Here is an 18,501-nt window from a genome sequence, read left to right as displayed (position 1 = left end):
GTTTCAAATTTATCCAAAAGAAAAATACACAAAAGAAAACAAACAAACAAAAATCTCCAGGTCCACGTAGTTTTACCGACAAATTCTACCTATCATTTAAGAAAGAAATACTACTAATCTACACATCTTCTTCCAGAAAGTGAAAGAAGAGGATATACTTTTGAAATCATCTTATGAGGCCAGCATTATCCTAATTCCAAAAGCAGATCGGAGCATTACAAGGAAAAACTGCTATAAACATTTATTGCTCATGAATATAGACACAAACATTCATAACAAATATTGACAAATAAAATTTAGTAATATATGAAAAGCATAACAAATCACAATTAGTGGAGTTTACCCCAGGAATACAAGGCGACTTCATCATTCACCATTCATTCATTGCAATTTACCATATTAAAATTGATACATTAGTATATGGAGAAAAAGCCTACAGTAAAATCTAACACACATTGTTTATGAAACATTCACATATATTAACAATAACAATGCTTTCAAAATAAATTATTGTATTCTAATAAGAGAGATGTATGAAAATATCTACAGCTCACATAATACTTAGTGGCGAAAGACTAATTGACTTCTCTTAAGCTCTACAACAAGGCAAGAATGGCTTCTCTCACCATTCCTATTCAATACCAACCTGGAAGTTCTAGCTAGTGCAGTGAGGCAAGGAAAAATAAAAGGCATACATTGGAAGGGAAGAAATGAATCTATCCTTATTCATGAATAATATGATTATCTATATAGAGAATTTCAAAGACTCTACAAAATATTCCTGGAACTAATGTGTGAATTTTACACAGTCTTAGAGGTTATAAGACTAACCAACCAAAGTCAAATGTATTACTACTATATACCAGCATTAGCATTTGGAATCTGAAACTAAAATAATAAAATAATGCTATTTACAATAGCACCCAAAACTGAACTACTTAGGAATAAATCTAAATATAGATAAGATCCATTCATAAAAACCTACAAAACACTGATGAAAAACATAAAAGAAAACCTAAATAAGTGAAGAGCTATACTCTGCTCATGAACTGGAAGACTCAATATTAAGATGTTAGTACTCTCATATTTGTTCAAGAAAATCAATATAATCCCAGTCAAAATTCAAGTAAACCATTTTGTAAACAGCAACCAGCAGACTTTAAAATTCACATGAAAAGTCAAGAAAATTAAAGTAGGTAAATAAATTCTGAAAACCATGAATACATATATAGACTGGCATATAAGTGGGGAACCAGACATCCAAGACCAGCCAAACTGGATCTGAAACTCACATCAGAGAAGTTCAAAGGGGTTTGCCCCCTAATCCTCTTATAAAAAGGAAAAATGCAGGGGTCCTAGTTATGGTGGAAAACAGTAACACCAATTCATCAACAGATGATCTGCACTATAAAAACGTTAAAGTCCTACAGACAGAAGAAATATAAAACCAGATGGAAATATGAATCTCCCCACAGGGAGAAGAAAACTATAAATAGTAACTGCATGGGCAAATATAAAATACTTGTTCTCTAAATATCCCTCAAGATATTGATGGTCTAAACACAACAAAATAGTATGTATATGGGGTTTATAACATTTATATAAGTAAAAGGTATGATAAATAATAGCATAAAGCTTGGGAGGGGAAAAAATGAAGTATATTATAATAAGATTCATGTACTATATGTGAAGTAGTATAAAATGATTTGAAAGTAAAGATATATTACCATAAACCTGAAAGCAAACACTAAAATAGCAAAACAAAGAATTAGAGCTAATAAGGCAAAAGGGGAAATTAAAAAAATGCATACCATGTAATTCCATTTATGTAACATTTTAGGAAATGCCAACCAATGTACAGAGACAGTAAACAGATCACTGGTTGCTTTGCAGTGGGGAGTTGCAAGGGAGCTTGGGAAGAGAGTTGGAAGGAAGGTATTACCGGAGAATAAAGACAATTTTAGGTGTGGTAGAACTATTCACAATAGTGATTGTGGGGTGATTCCAAGGATGTAGGAGAAAACAAGTTGGAAGCCAAACACTGAGGAGGTTTAGCAAATCAAAGTATGATGGGATTTTAACCACAAAATACAAGTGTGTGTAATAAACCTCTATTGTTAGGATCAAATGGCTCCCTTTGCAACTCTTCAGAGTAATACCTGCACTCCCCTCATTGAATAATAATCTATTTTGATGGATAGCTGAGGAAGAGTTCAGGAGTTCTTTTGCAGGCTCAGTAGAACAAATCTGGGTTCCCCGACAATATTCTAATGAGACTTTTAAGATTCCATTTACAGTCTGTTTAGTTTGTAACTCAAATCAGTCAGATGAGATGCAATATTTAGGCCACAGCCACCTGAAATTTGCTTGGGACCAAAACTCTGCCAGGCTGCATCTGAAAAAAGCATTTGAGATTTTCTAAATGTAGATAATAAAGACCATCTAGATTTTCATGGAAATATGGAAAAGGACCCTAACAAAAACTGTACAAACAAATATACTTCTTTCACAGAGCCAGAGGGAAGGAATAAACCGATTCAGATCAATTAAAAATAATAAATAAATAAATAAATAAATGTTCAGCCCAACTTTCTCAAAGAGTAGAAGGGATGCTACTGGGGATAACTATGTTTTCCTACACATAAGCAGAGTTCAAAACCTTCAGTTATTTAGTGGTGTGAATGTACAAATTTGGGTGGCATGCAGGTGCATTTAAAATTGAAGGAGGTGATAGTATTTAACTTTGATTTAGAAATAATACAGGAAGATTCAAAGGGCTTCCCAATTCTATGACTTTAAGAGAAAACACTCTCCCTCTCCAAAGAAAGGAATCCTGGTGTGTTCAGGATGGTTCAATGCAAGTGTCTTTATGCTGCTCGCAGTATGTTCATAGGCAACAAATTTTTTTTAAGGTAGAGTCTCACAAATTTTTTATTTTTATTTATTTATTTTTTAAGGTAGGGTCTCACTCTGTCACTTAGGCTGGAGTGCAGTGTTGCTATAATCCCTTACTGCAGCCTCAACTTCCGGGGCTCAATTGACCCTCCCACTTTTGTCTCCCAGGTAGCTGGGACTACAGGCATGAGCCAAAATGCCTGGCTAATTTTTTGTAGAGATGGGCTTTCATCATGTTGTCCAGGTTGGTCTTGAACTCCTGGTCTCAAGCAATATGCCCACCTCAGCCACCCAAAGTGCTGGAATTACAGGCATGAGCCACTGCACCTGGCCATAAGCAACACTGTGATTTGCAAAAACTTACGTACTTTCTCTGAGTCACTGTCTCTATAACATGAACTGTTGACCTAGATCAAAAATGTTCAGTAGCAGGAGAAAGACATAGATGTGTATAGTATGAATAAAGCTTTCCATATAATTGCAGAGGCCACTGGACCAGTTGATTTCACATGTGTACTTTATCAGTAATCTTCTACAGATCTATTTTTTTAATCAACATTGTGGTCATTCACCCTTCACTTGAATTATTATAATAGCTTTCTGGGTAGTATAAAAATACCAGACTTTAGTATCTACTTATGCCAATTTATACTCCAGCGAGTTCCTTGATCGCGATTTATTTTTATACTTCTTTAAAGGATTAATTCCTAGTTTGTTTTTTACTGCATCAAAACTAAACTTCTCTCCTGGCTTATCCTACTCTGGTTTCTAAATCCACAATTTGTGTCTGGAATTTCTTTCTTTCTTTTTTTTTTTTTTTTAATTTTACTTTAAGTTCCGGGATACCAGTGCAGAATGCGTAGTTTTGTTACATAGGTATATGTGTGCCATGGTGGTTTGCTGCACCTATCAACCCCTCATCTAGGTTTTAAGCCCCACATGCATTAGCTATTTGTCCTAATGCTCTCCCTCCCCTTGCCTCACAGCCCTCGACTGGTCCCAGTGTGTGTCGTTCCTCTCTCTGAGTCCATGTGTTCTCATTGTTCAGTTCTTACTTATGAGTGAAAACATGCAGTGTTTGGTTTTCTGTTCCTGTGTTAGTTTGCTGATGATGATGACTTCCAGCTTCAACTATGTCCCCACAAAGGACATGATCTCATTCCTTTTTATGACTGCGTAGTATTCCATGGTTTATATATAACACATTTTCTTTATCCCGCTGATTTTTGATAGGCATTTGGGTTGGTTCCATGTCTCTGCTACTGTAAATAGTGCTGTGGAGAAATAGGAATGCTTTTACACTGTTGGTTGGAATGTAAATTAGTTCAACCATTGTGGAAGACAGCATGGAGGTTCCTCAAGGATTTAGAACCAGAAGTACCATTGGACCCAGCAATGCCATTACTGGGTACATACCCAAAGGAATATAAATCGTTCTACTCTAAAGACACATGTACATGTATGTTTATTGTATCTGGACTTTCTAATCACTCTTTGTTTTAGAGGATCACCTTTTTTTTGACCATCCCAGAGGATCCTTCAGTCTTTACACTGAAAAGATCCTCTAAGAGGTGGCAAGCAGGTTTAGAAAAATTTATATGTAATCCCAGTGAAACAAATTTCCCATAAAGTAGAAAAAGTTACTTATAATTTTAAAACCAGCCTATTCTATTCTCAAGTAGCCATTTCCTTACCTTACCCATAGGCAAAAGCAGATATTCCACAGACTTAACAATAGGCTAAAGGACAATGAATACGAAAATCTGGGAAATTAAGGTATACGTGCAGAAAAGCATGAGATAAGCCCTACAACTCTATTTGTGTATTGATTCCAACATTTTCTCTTAATAGTTTTAGAGGCTGTTGACCAGGAGCTGTAAGTGTCTATAGAGTGCTTGTACATGTTATCAGTGTATGTGTATGTATGTATATATATATATGTGTACATATGTAGTATACGTATACACACTCTGTGTATACACACACACACTCTACATGTACATACATATATATCTATACATACACACAAACTCTATTGTGTCTATATAGCACATTATGTACCTCTCACTTCACTTTTTTGCCTCTTGGGATTAGAACTCATGATATTCCAAATGACTAAGTGGTCAAAAATTGATAAAGAAGGATGATAAACAATGGCCTCGAAAATATTCACCTGGAATATACCAAACCTGAGTGATAGATTCCCATGCAACAATCATCAATCTGAATAAGCTTCTATGTATATTAGCTCTGTGAACTCTTTTAAAAGTTGAAAATATCTGTAGGTTTATAAGCTTTGTACTGGCCTCACCCTTATTTTCTGCCTGTTCTCTCTGTGTCCCATGTCTGGAATAGGCAAATCTAAATCCTTGTGACAGCACAGCCAGGAAAGGTGACATTGGTAACTTCATGTTCTCTTTCTTATATTGTGTAGATTTCCTTTCTTCTCCTCATACCAGGGCTATTGTAGAATACAATTGATTCAACGCAGTTTCACAAAATGATTATGGCTAAAAGGGAATTTAGATATCACCTCACCTAACATGGCCATTTGATAGGAAAGTAAACTGAGGCAAAGAGGATTTAGACCATATTAAAAGGGTCAGAATTTAAAACAAATCTTTGAAAGAGAAATATTTTTCATTCAACTGTCCAAATGTAATGTAGTGGTATACACATTGTGGAATGAAAGTTCAATGACATTGCAGTCTGAAAGAAACGTGTACAGCTGAAATAGTTTTGAGACATGATTCACCTACATCTTTCTAGATTGCTCAATGATATTTTTGAATCACAACCTTTAGAATTGAAGCAAGATAAATAATGGGCGATAGCAAGTGTAGTTAGAGCAACAATGGGCAGATATTTGAATCAGGTAAACTCAAGACAGTCCAGTGCATATTTTTGCTATATTTTAAAGCTTTTATGAAAGCTCCTTTACTCTTATTTCCAGTCCTCCCATTTCTGAAATTTATATTTTATAAAACTCAGCACAGAGATATAAAGAGCTAGATATAAATTTTAATTTTGGAATTACTATGTAAAGGATTGCTTAGGCTATGACACTCTGAAAAGACACATAGTTATATTTTATCCATTTCTTTATTTTTTTAACCAACAAGCAGTTAGACTGTCTATAGATAGAATAAAAATGAGGTTGCTGCAAGGTCCTTTACAGAGACAACTCACTTCTGTAGACTTACGGCAGTAGGTGTGAATATGGATACCTTAATGGAGATACGAGTATTGTAGTGATATTGATGGTGATATACCATTTCTACAGGGATGTTGACAAGTAGAAGTGCCATGGTTATTGGATAGTGAGATATCAATAGTACTTTTCCTGGGATTGATACCTGAAATTCCATTTTTACATAGGAGATGCCAATAGCCATGAGAACAAATTTACATATGTGAGTAGGCAAAGAGAGAAGAAAAAAGGACTACAGAAATCTGAAGTGGAAACATATGCAGAAACATATAGAAAGAGATAGCTAGGGAATAAATGATGATCCAATTCCATGACTTCAAAATTTAACCTAGCATGTGCCCTGATGCTGCCTTTAATGTGTACAGAACAGATCGCCCGTGCCCATCAAAGCAGCAGCATTCTTGTTTGCCTTCAGGAATGGTTCGTTTTACCAGTCTGAGGATCTCATGCAACTTTGCCTTTTCTTATTCACCTGTTTCTCAAGATAAACCTGGTAATTAATATGTGTAGCATTTAGAACTATACAAAGCTTTGCTTTAAAATTCTTTCTGAAACCACACCTGGAAGTCATGGATTATACCATCATTAGAAGGTACATCACAAGACAATGTTTAATTCATGATTGAGGAGGTGCAGGTCTCCTGAACAGACAGTGTGTGTTTGTTAAATAATGCTGCGAAACCAGACATTTTCCTGTTTTGTCCTGTTTTGAAATATTCAAAATGATTTTTCCAGGCTTTGCACATTTATTACTTTTAATGATGACTTTATTCGGATACCAATTATTTTCTTTGGGCTAGACAAGAAGTGTTAAGCCATATTTCTCCTGTAATTTAAGAAATTTTTAGTGAATGTTAATTATGCTATTTTGTACATAGGATGAAATCCAAAAAGCTGAAGCGGAGAGTTGGGAATATTGTTTTCTGACAAGCTGAGATGGTTCTTCACTGTTCATTTCCTACAAAGAACCAGAATAATAGGAAAATCTGCAATGCTGATTTCAGTGCTGAGAGATTTTAATTTTATAAAGCTCAAATTAATATGGCAAGAAATGCTTTGGAGAAAACAAACATGTGCCTAAGATATGAGGGGTGCTGATAATCTGTGTTTTAAGCTTAAAATTCTGGCTTGGTCCTATACCAGTAGGTTTGAGAACTGTTGAGTAGGTTGAGACTGTTCATTTCTGTCATGTCTGCCAGCTGACACTTGAAACTTCCTCCCTCCACTCTCACTGAGATAGAGTATTTTTAATATATTGAAACAGTGTAGAAATTTCACAAAAGTTTTAACTCACCTGGCTGCAGGAGAACTTTTGAATTGATAGAGTTGATGTCTGCTGGTAATATGAACTTAACCACATGGAAAGCCTTGCGGCAACTGCAAAGTCCTTCCACATCTATTCCCTGATGCCTACCATTCCACTAGGGGTTGCTGGAGACATTTATTTAAATATATGTAAATCGCAGGTGTTATTTAAATAGTTGTTGAATTCAGGGAAAACACCTGATCGGGTATTTTATATTTAAAACATGTTTATACTACGGTAAAAAGAATTGAAAATCTATCTTTTAAAAAGATGTTGTTTTGAGAGAAGAGAAGAAAGGTAGGGTGAAAAGGGAAGACATAAGAGGAGAGAAAAGACAGGACAAGCGAGAGAAAATGGAAAAGATTAGAGAGAAGGGAGACTGGAGAAAGGAGAGAGTGGATAGGGTAAGAAGGGAGAGATGGGAGAAGAGAGAAGCTGAAGAAGAGAGGCAGGAGTAAGGAAAACCGAGAAAGGAAAGAATGATGAAGGAAACCAGGAAAGCAGGTAGGATCTGCCAATAGCAAATAAAAATGCTCAGCGCATGGCATCTGAAGATGGGTAAAAAACAGCTTATGGTGCTCCCACTAAGGAAAAAATAAACACCAAGATATTTATTATGTTTGTCTTATACTTTAATATTTTGCCAAAATAAACATTGGTATCATCCATTATATAGTCCTAGCAAGACTTGTAACTGACAGAAACTAATCTAAAACTATTCACTAATGAATATTGAACCAATGGTTAATTACCAACCCCTATGGAAAAAGTCATGTGCACAGAGAACAGTCTATGAATGGTGACTGATTTAAACGTGGCTCTATTTAATTCTTCAAGCGTTTTAAATGGGCAATCACTTAAAATCAAACACACAGTGATGATTATAATAATCCCTTCAGTTTCTTTAAAGCCTGATTGTATATAGAGGCTTTCCAGGGTATTTTTAGATATTTTTTGAGTAAAATATTTATTTTAGGAATTTATCTTACAAATACACATATGTGTACATAAAGACACATGTTGAAGAATACTCACTGCAGTATTTTTTTCAAGTTCACTACAGCAAAAATCTAAAGAATAACCTATGGCCCATCCACAGAGCATATTTTTTTTATTGATAGTGCAGCCATACAAGTACTACTATGCAACTGGTTAAAAAGAGTGAGTTGGTTTCATATGTATAGGCATGGGCTAACCTCCAAGACATATTAAGGGCAAAACGCAAGGTGTAGAATAATGTGTACAGCATGCTATCATATTTGTGTAAATAAAAAGAAAATATACATTTATGCATATCCACATTGACTCATTCTGGAAGAATGAACAAGAAGCACCTAACAGGCAGTTAACTCTGGGAATGGGAGCCCAGTGATGGGAGGTGGGAGACCAAGATTTTACTGTGTATATTTTTGTACTGTTTGAATTTTTTTTATTACCATGTACATGTGTCACATTTTCAAAAGAATTTTAAAAAGTAAACTAATAAAATTTATTCCTAAGCTCTAAATTGAATATTAGAATTTTTAGATATTTTTAAGAATGTTCTCTCACTAGATCAACCCTGTTTTGTAGCAAACGATTAATAGTCTTATTTTACCCAGGGAGAAACCGAGTCTCAGAGAAGTTAATTAAACAGAATAAGGTCACACAGCCTATAGATTATAAATCCAAGACTAAAAGCTATCTATTTGCAGTCAGCATACTTTCCTCTCCACTGTACTCTCTTTGGAAATGTTTGGGGCATCAAAAACAGAATATGTGCTGCCTGAGTTATACGCCATTTTCTGAGTTATAATTGCAAGAAAAGTCGGAAGTGAAGCCAGCTGTTCTATCTATATGATTTTTACTCCTCCACTACCACTATTATGGCCTGAACTGTGTCCCCAAATTCATGTGTTAAACTCTCAAGCTGCAGTACTTAAGAAAGTGACAGTATTTGAAGATAAGATTCTAAAAGAGGTGATTACGTTAAAATGAGGCCTTTAGAGTAAGGCCAACCTGACTGGCATCTTTAGAAGGAAAGGAAAAGATGCCAGGAGAGCTGTGCACAGAGGGGTAGATAAGCATGTTGAGGAGGCAGCAAGAGTCCAGCCAGCCAAGGAGAAAGGTGTGGAAGCAGACCCGTCCCCTGGGGTCCCCACAGGAAATCACCCTTGCTGGAACCTTGATCTTGGCGTTCCAGCTTCCAGAACGGTGAGAACATGCATTTCTGTTACTTAAGTCACTCAGTCTGTTGTATTTTGCTATGGCAGCCCAAGCAAACTTATATAACCCCCTACACAGTCTCTTGGAACCATCCACCTGGAAGAAGTAACCAAAAGGCAGCCTGAGGAAACATCCATGCAGAGGGAAGACAGTCATTAAAATTTTGACTCCTGGAAAGTCCATCTTCCTGTCCCTGAGAACATGTCTTGGTATTTCTTGAAAATGTGAATGCTTATGGTGCTTATGACCTTTGTAGTTAGTATCCACCTTAGAAATAAAACGTAATGTTAATTATTGCCCCCTTCTAAAACATATATTTAAAGAAAAACACTGAATATATACCCAAGACTAGGATTTTCATTCTTTACTGTACTGAGGAAATGCAGTAAACATCCCATTATCCATTGATATTTGTTGATTTCAGTTGTCATCCCAATAAGATTGGCAATAACTTTCCTAACACCAATGTGGCAGAACAGACTGAGATATGAGTAATAAAACAAGTGACAGTTTAGAAATAATAAATAAAATACTACATGTGTAATGTGTATTAATGTTATGTATTACATATTTAATAGCTATATCTTGAATATAGAGATATTAACTTTCAACAATTTGCTTATTAACATGAACACACGTGGTACATGTAATATTTTTATATATTTTCTGTATGCTTTGCATTTACATATTTTACTTTTTAAAATGACTTTGCATATAATAATCAAATATAATTAATACATTATTATATGTTTAATTATATATTTTATGATATATTGATATCTGATGAAATATTAAATATCAACAGAGTATATGTATTATATTAGTACAGTCATGTATTGCTTAATAAAAGGAATTCCTTACGGGAAATGTGTCATTAGGTGATTTTGTCATCATTGTGCAAACATCATACGGAATGCTCACACAAACCTAGGTGGCATAGCCTACTACACTAGTCTACATGTTATAACTTATTGCTCCTAAGCTACAAACCTGTACAGCATGCTACTATACTGAATACCATATATAATTGTGACACAATAGTAAGTATCAGTGTATCCAAACATGTCTAGACATAGGTAATGAAAATAGAGTACTATAATCTTATGTGACCACCATCTTATAGGCGTTCCATCATTGACCCAAACGTTGTTATGCAGCGTGTGACTATATTATATGAACAGAAAATATTTTGCTTAAATATTTAAATAATCATAATATTGTATTGCCTTACATGTAGATATTTCACTTTTTAAAATTATGTGAAAATTATTAATGTAATTTTGCCATAAATATTATAATTATAATATTGTAGAGAAATATTTTACTAAATATAAAGGGAAATAAAAATTATCCTTTCTTTTTACTTCTTTAAGTGATGCCACACATATTATATTCCAGGGGGCTCCTAATTGTAACAACTATTTTTAAATAGCTTCTGTGTGCAAGTGACCTTAGGGGCTCTTCACGTAAGCATAAGGTTAGGTCCAGTAGTTCCCCCTTATCCCCAGTGGATCCCTAAAACTAAGGATAGTACTGAACCCTATATATGGTATGCTTGTTCCTATATATACTTAACCATTAACAAATTTATAAATTAGGCACAAAGGATTAACAATCATAACTGGTAATAAAATAGAAAATTGCAACAATATAATGTAATAAACGTTTCGTGAATGTGGTCTTTCTCTTTCAAAATATCTTCTTGTACTGTACTTCCCCTTCATCTTGTTGTAATGGTATGAGATGATAAAATGCCTACGTGATGCGATGAAGTGAGGTGAATGACATAGGCATTGTGACATAGCGTTAGGCTACAGTTGACTTTCTGAAGATTCTCCAGTCGGAGGACCATTTGCTTCGGGTGATCCTGGATCGTCAAGCCATGTTGATGTTGATTGGATGTCAGGAGCAGACGATGTCCAGCACTAACAGGTGGGGAACATATACCCCACAGATATGCTGGACAAAGGAATGAGTCACATTAGGGGTGAGATGGAAGCAGGAATCATGCTACTCAGAACAGTGTTCCATCTAAAACTTATAAATTGTTATTTGTGAACTTTTTCATAAAGGTCATAATATTTTCAGACCACAGTTGAGTGTGGGTAACTGCAAGTGTAAGAAACAAAATCAAGGATAAGGGGGAGCTAATGTCCTTCCCCAAGCCTTCATATACTAACAGTGGACAATGTTAGCATTTCATCTGCAGCAGATTTACTCCAGGAAAATTGATGTAAAACATGATGTCCATCCAATATAGTGAGGCCTTTGGGGAAATGCCTGCTCCATTGTACTAGCTTAGGCAGGCTACATGCACTCAACTTCTCTCTGGAACCCCTTGAATGTAACTTAATTAATTTCATCCAAGTTGGAGATAAATGCTGAGGCTGCTGCTGGGACTTCGGTGGAGAAGTGAGGGGCAGATTCTGCTCAATCGTCCTGATAGGAAGAAATGGTGAAAATCCCTGGGAACTGGATCATCCTGATGAGAGAGAGGCCCAAGAATAATAAGAATGGGAGATTTCTGTTTAAATCAATCACAGCAATAATTCTCAAATGTAATCCCCAGACCAGCAGCCTCAGCCTCACCTAGGGACTTGCAGAAATACAGATTCCTAGGTACCACATCAGACACATTGTGTTAGAAACTACATCAGGTCCTGCAATGTGTGGTTAAACAAGCCGTCCAGGTGATCCTGATTCACTCTAAAGTTTGGGAATCTAAGAATCACTACATTAGAGAATGAAAGGAGACACAGGTGTGAGCCTTTGAATTGTTGTGGTGAGTAGGAATATGTTTTGTTTCCGTGTATTACCCATTCAGTCAGAGCAAGGACTAACAGCCAGATGTATTGATGTCACCCAATTGACCCGTGCCCTATGACATTCCTGTGTTCCATAAAAACTGTTTCCAAGCATAGGTCCCTTTCTTCCTTCCCATCTTTCACTTTACAAACCACTGCCTTGTAAAGTACTATCAACAACAAGGGGAATATGCAATATTGTCAGGAATTAAGCCCAAGGAGAAGTCAAAAGCCATCTTTTTCCCGTAAAGTCATTGTGCACTTGCCTCATTTCCTGCTGACTGACTTTCTCTTGGGAATAGGAACCAGGAAATCTTTGAGGCAGGTGCAGTTATAACAGATGTTACAAAGCCGGAGACAGCTCACTGCTTCCCCTATTTGTTATTAACAGTATAATTCTTCCACACAGAAATCATCTTGAGTCTTCACAGAGAAATGCCTCTTTCCTAATAAGATTGTGCATTTTCCTCCACGAAGCTGTACTTTCTTCTGTTTCCTCCACGAAGCTGTACTTTCTTCTGATATCTCAGAAAACCTCTTCTGTTGCCCATGGACTGTCAGGCGACATTAAAGTTTGTTTTGCTTCCATCTCATATAAACTGACCTTGCCTAGGTACTCTCTCAGCCTCACTGACATAAAACTTCAATTACCTAGAAACAGAGTGTTTCTTGTAAGAACCTTCTACTCACCAGATGTTCTTCCTTTCAATTGACTATAGCATAAAGAGACAAAAGAAGAGGTAAAATTTTCTGGAATTTATATTTTTAGAAGGCACAATAAGAGTTGATACACAGAAGCAAAGAAGGCAGAATGAAATCATTATTAAGCATGGGCTTTGGAGCCAGCTTGGCTCAGCTACCTAATGGCTGTGTAAACTTGGGCAAGTTATTTAACCTCTCTTTTTCCAAAAGATGGGGGTAATAGCTCCTGGCTCACTGGACTGTTGGGAGGATTAAATTGTTAATTTACAAAAGTTATTATTAAACTGAGAAGTATTAAGCACTCTATAAGTGGCTGTTGTTATTATTGGTATTATTGACCTAATATGCCACAGGATATTATATTGAAAGAATGACCCAATTATATTTACCATTTCTTATTTATCAGTGCAGGGAAATAAGCTGCTGTAGAAAATGGGAAGCTAACCTTCAATATCTCTTTTTCAGAAAAGACATCGCCTTCCCATGCTGCCTAATTAACTCTCTTGTTAGTTAAATTTTCATTCACATTTGCCTTAACTCCTCACCTGAATTATCTGATCTTTGAGAGCAGGTGCTCCGCTTTAGTCTTCTTTGTACAAGCCAGAATAGTAAGCAAAGCAACTTTCATATTGTAATAGATTTAATTTTCAGAAAGACATTTTCCAGTGAACCAGAAAGAATAATTACCCCTAAATCCTCACTCATCCTGGCACATTGAGGTTTTACCTTGTATTCTGTTTCTCAGGGCACACCCATGGTGCTGTGAAAGGCACTTGCTTCCACAAGGCTTACTTCTGTGTTATGATCTTCAAAGTGACATCCAGGTCAAACACTCAGGTGATAGAAGACTCAGGGACCACATCTAGATGAAGGAGGCTCTCTGGGAAATTCAAAACATGACTATAATGTGGTACTTGCTCCTCCTCACTCCCAAATATTATTCTGAACTGCCAGACTTTAACATCAATAAGAGATTTTTGGAACATTAGCTAGTCCAGTGAGAAGTAGTATGGATGTTTAAAAAAGGAGAGCTCAAAGTGGGTGGTCAGAAAAGTCTTCCTGAAATGGCTGCACACTGAGCTGGATCTTCTACACCAAGGAGCCTGCAGTTCCCCCACCTGTCCCGATGAGTGTGACTCACATCACGTAGCACAGCCCTTCCATATTACAATGCTTACAATGGATACTCCAACAGAAAAAAAGAATCTAGAAAAAGTTTTATATGATAATGACCAACAAAAACATGTCATGTAGTACTAAATGCTGTAACTAGTTCTTCATTAAATAAATCCAGTAATTACAAAGAACTTTAAAGTAATCTTCCTTTTCCCAAACCATGCAGCCTCAAAAGTGCATAAAAGGATTTCTCCTTTCTGAAGCTTTATATTAAGGCTGCTACATTTTAAAATGTAGAGGACTTTTTTTTATTTTCTTCTTCTTTTTTTTTTTTTTAATGAGAAAGCTTCTTTAAACCAGGTGTTCTGCTACTCTGGCATTTTGTATATAAAATTCTATGATAATCAACATGTCATGTGAGACTTAAAGTCCTGCAGGAAACTCTTGTGATTCTAAACCATTAAGTGCCTGGAGAGTTGGGGCTCTATCTAATTTGTAATTTATCCCCAGCTTTTCAACATACCAAGCACTTAATAGATATATAGTGAATCAATTAAATCAACTAATTTATGTTAAGGTTAAATTAATTGCTATGTGTTCTCTTGTAGTCTGTTTTTAAAAGCTAGTTGACTACATATAATATGTTGGGTTTTACTTGTAACCTCATGGTAACTCACTATCAATCATAAAAGTTAACAAGAATATCCAATGGTAACCAACAATGTTTGACAACAAAATTTTAAGGTAGCCAGCCAAAACAATGATGATGATGAATAACTCTGTCAGTCTGTAGCACATTCTGTAATTTGGAAAATGCATGAGTATTTTGCCTCCTGTACCAGGATCCTCATGGCAAAATCAGGTGAATTTTGATTCCTCTCTTTACTTCAGATAATATATATTTTTTTCATTTGCAGAATGAATCTACCAGGAGCACAGACTTTGGGATCACCATTGTGTCTGTTTTAAGTGTGCGTGTGTGTGTGTGCACGTGCGCATGCGTGCGTGTGTCTTCCATTTTGAAACAATAAGCTAGTGGTTTTCTAACCTGGCTTCTCATTAGAATTCATGCAGAGTTTAGCTTATAAAAAGTACACCAGTTTTGGCCCCCACCCACCAGGACTGAACTGAAGTCTCTAGTGATTAAAACTGACAGATAAAATACAAGATACTGAATTAAATTTGGATTCTACATAAACAGTGAAAAAAAATACAAGTATGTTCCATAATATTTAGAACGTACACTTAAAAATTATTTTTATCTAAAATTTAAATGTATCCGGGCATCTCAGTTTTTTGTTCTATTTTATTTTTGTCTTCTTCTTTCCTGTCTAGTAAATTAACTCTACCAAGGGTCCAAATTGGGAATCTCTATTTTCAGCAATTCCCATGCTAATTATATTAAATCTAGGTCTTTTTTTCCCAAATTTTCTTCTTTATTTATTCTTCTTTTTTAAATTCATATTTCAGACTTAAACCGAAGCACTATCACACAATATACATGTTTTTAAAATTGAGGAGTTAAATATTTCTTATATAAGTAACCATCTCAAAAGTGTATTCATGATTCCAGGTAAGCGTTTTTATTTTAATAAAATGCTTGTTTCAAATGTCTTATTATTTACATTGTATCCATCATTGTATTCAAAAATATTTCTACACTATATTTACTGTTACATGAGATCATGGCGATCCAGTTTGGGATTTTTAAATGATATTAAACCCCTAGTCAAGAAAATAAGATGAAAAGCATGCAAGGTGGTCTTTTCCTGCAAGATAATAAAGTTCTATCTTTTCTCCAGTAGAAGTAGTGCAGTTTCAAAAGTTTTATCACAATTATTTAGAATGAGGAAAATAATAACTAGAGCTTCTTTCAAAATTACCCTAAAGGGGAGGAAAAATAAAAATCAACCCAGAGAAGAACAAATGGGCAATTAAGGCAAGTGCAACCAGGTCTCAGGGAGGAATTTCTTAATCCCCACAGCTTGTAATCGGGGGTTAGGACCCAAGAGTGTGAAAATTGTCAGTGCAGCAACACAAAATCCTGGAAAGACTCAGTAGGTGCAGAGACTCGAGATGGTATATGAGCAGTTGCTGAGAACCTAGAGTCTGGGAAACACAGCACATTCCAACACAAATCCCGGAGCCCAGGTACCATGGGAACAGCTGATCCTCCACAAACATCTATTGATATGTGGAGATGAGATGGGCCCTGACATGCTGTCTGGATATTATGAGCAAGGTGGAGGGTAACCAAGGGGACCAGGCCAACAGCATGGAGCTGCATAAATCCCAGCTGTGAATTCAAAAGGGATGCCTAGGCTTGAATATTCCTTTTGCCCCCAGCTAATGTGTGTACTGACCTCTGCTTAAAGAGCTTGGAAATATTTTTAAGTAATTTGGTTCCCATAAATAGAATGTCCTCTTCAGGTGTTACGTGAGGAAGAACTAAAAATAATTAGTGCAAATGATCCTCAGACCTTCCACCACCTGAAAGAGCTTTAAAAAAAAAGGGAGGTGGCGGGGAAAGGAATAAAGTTTGGTGCTTTAAAAAGAAAATAAAAAGTGTTTTGTACTGGAGGAAGCTGGTAGAAAGTTTATCTGAAAAAAAAATCTGATAAATTGCATCATTTAAGCACATTCCATGTTACTCATTAAACATATTTTTTAAGTTCATTTGGTATGATCTCTAAGTGGTTGCTTGAGGAAATGTGTTGCAATTTGTTTTATATACCTGGCTTTAAATACTATGAAACTTCCACTTAAAAAAATAGATACATTGTGTAGCATTTAAAACACTTGCTTATTTTAAGTCTTTCCGGCTTCTTAATTCAGTTTCAAGCTGAAATCCTATGAGGGGCAAATTTCATTCAAATTTGGCAAAAGGCAGCTTTGGTTAAGGTAAAAGGGAGAAAAACATATAAACAAGCAATGAAATCAGACTTCCTGGAGTGCTGAGTTGTGAAACTTTTGATTTTGAGAAATACTAGGTATTTATTAGGCGTTTCACTGATGCCTTCTTAGTGCTCTGTGAAATACAAACAGGAAATAAAAATGGGAATCTATGGAGAAAAAAAGGAAAAACTGAAGTCTCCTTCATGTTTTCCTCTTTCAAAAATTACCAGTAATCTATCCAGGGGACCTCATGGGTTGTCTCAACCATATACGTTGCCTTCAAAATACTTGAGAAGATAATACTGGAGGGAAAAAACCATGATTTCAAGTCACAATATTTCAGTGACAAAAGCTGACCACAGTAACACACAGATCATGAACAACACTAGCCTCTGATCCATCTCACTTTTGGGTTTGAAGATTCCTGTTTGGGGACATGTACCTGGATATAGGTGTTGGGGATGCTCATCACCTATTTTGCCTGAGAGCAGACAAAAATTCAGAACTAAATGTGTCTTATTTTTCCCTTCCAGTCTCTTGTCCTGTCTAATATCCTATCTGGCTAAATATTTTTACAAAGTGTCATGTTTACTCTCAAGTAACTAAAGTCAGAAATGAAAGTAGGGATATAATTACCAAATCTATATAAGAGAGTATTAGGAACAATTGTATGTCAACAAATTGGCTAATCTAGACAAAATGTGAAATTCATATAAATATACCAAGAATAAATTATAAAGAGATAGAAAATCCAAATACATCTAACTAGTTGTGCGGGGCGGTGGGGGGCGGGGGGCGGGTGCTGAATTAACAATCAAAAACCTTTTGACAAAGAAAAACCCTAGACCTAGGCTTCACTGGTGAATTCTACCAAATACTTAAAGAAGAAATCACAACAGTTCTCTCCAAACTCTTCTAAAGAAGAGGGAACACTTTCTAACTCATTCTATGAGGCCAGGACTACCCTGATACCAAAGCCAGACAAGACATTATAAGATATATGTTATAAACATTTATGTAAAAATCCTCAGTAAAATCCTAGAAAACTGAATTCAGCAGCATATTAAAGTGATTATACAACATAACCAAGTGAAATTTATTGAGATACAGGATGGTTCAGCATATGACAATAAATTATTGTAATATGCCACATTAACAGAATAAAAGGGTGAAGCATGAGAATATCAATAGACACAGAAAAAGCATTTTATACATTTCAATATCCCTCATGATAAAAACACTCAACAAAATGAGAACAAAGGAAAGTACTTCAACAAAATAAAGACCACATATGAAAAACCTACAAACAACATCACACTCAGTGTGGAAGAACTGAAAACTTTACTTCTAAGATCAGGAACAAGACA

At 35.7% G+C, this 18,501-nt stretch overlaps 1 long non-coding RNA gene across 1 annotated transcript; it reads left to right on the top strand.

Moving 5' to 3' along the window:
• The first annotated feature begins 11,475 nt into the window (after positions 1-11,475).
• On the top strand, positions 11,476-16,819 carry LINC01751 (long intergenic non-protein coding RNA 1751). The gene is made up of 2 exons (NR_135005.1): positions 11,476-11,549; positions 15,157-16,819. It is a non-coding gene; the product is annotated as a long intergenic non-protein coding RNA 1751 (long non-coding RNA).
• Positions 16,820-18,501: the final 1,682 nt, after the last annotated feature.

Source organism: Homo sapiens, chromosome 20, assembly GCF_000001405.40.
Source record: "Homo sapiens chromosome 20, GRCh38.p14 Primary Assembly".
In the NCBI taxonomy this organism is placed as follows: Eukaryota; Metazoa; Chordata; class Mammalia; order Primates; family Hominidae; genus Homo; species Homo sapiens.
Note: the sequence above shows the minus strand (reverse complement) of the source record. Positions and strands in the feature narration are given on the sequence as shown.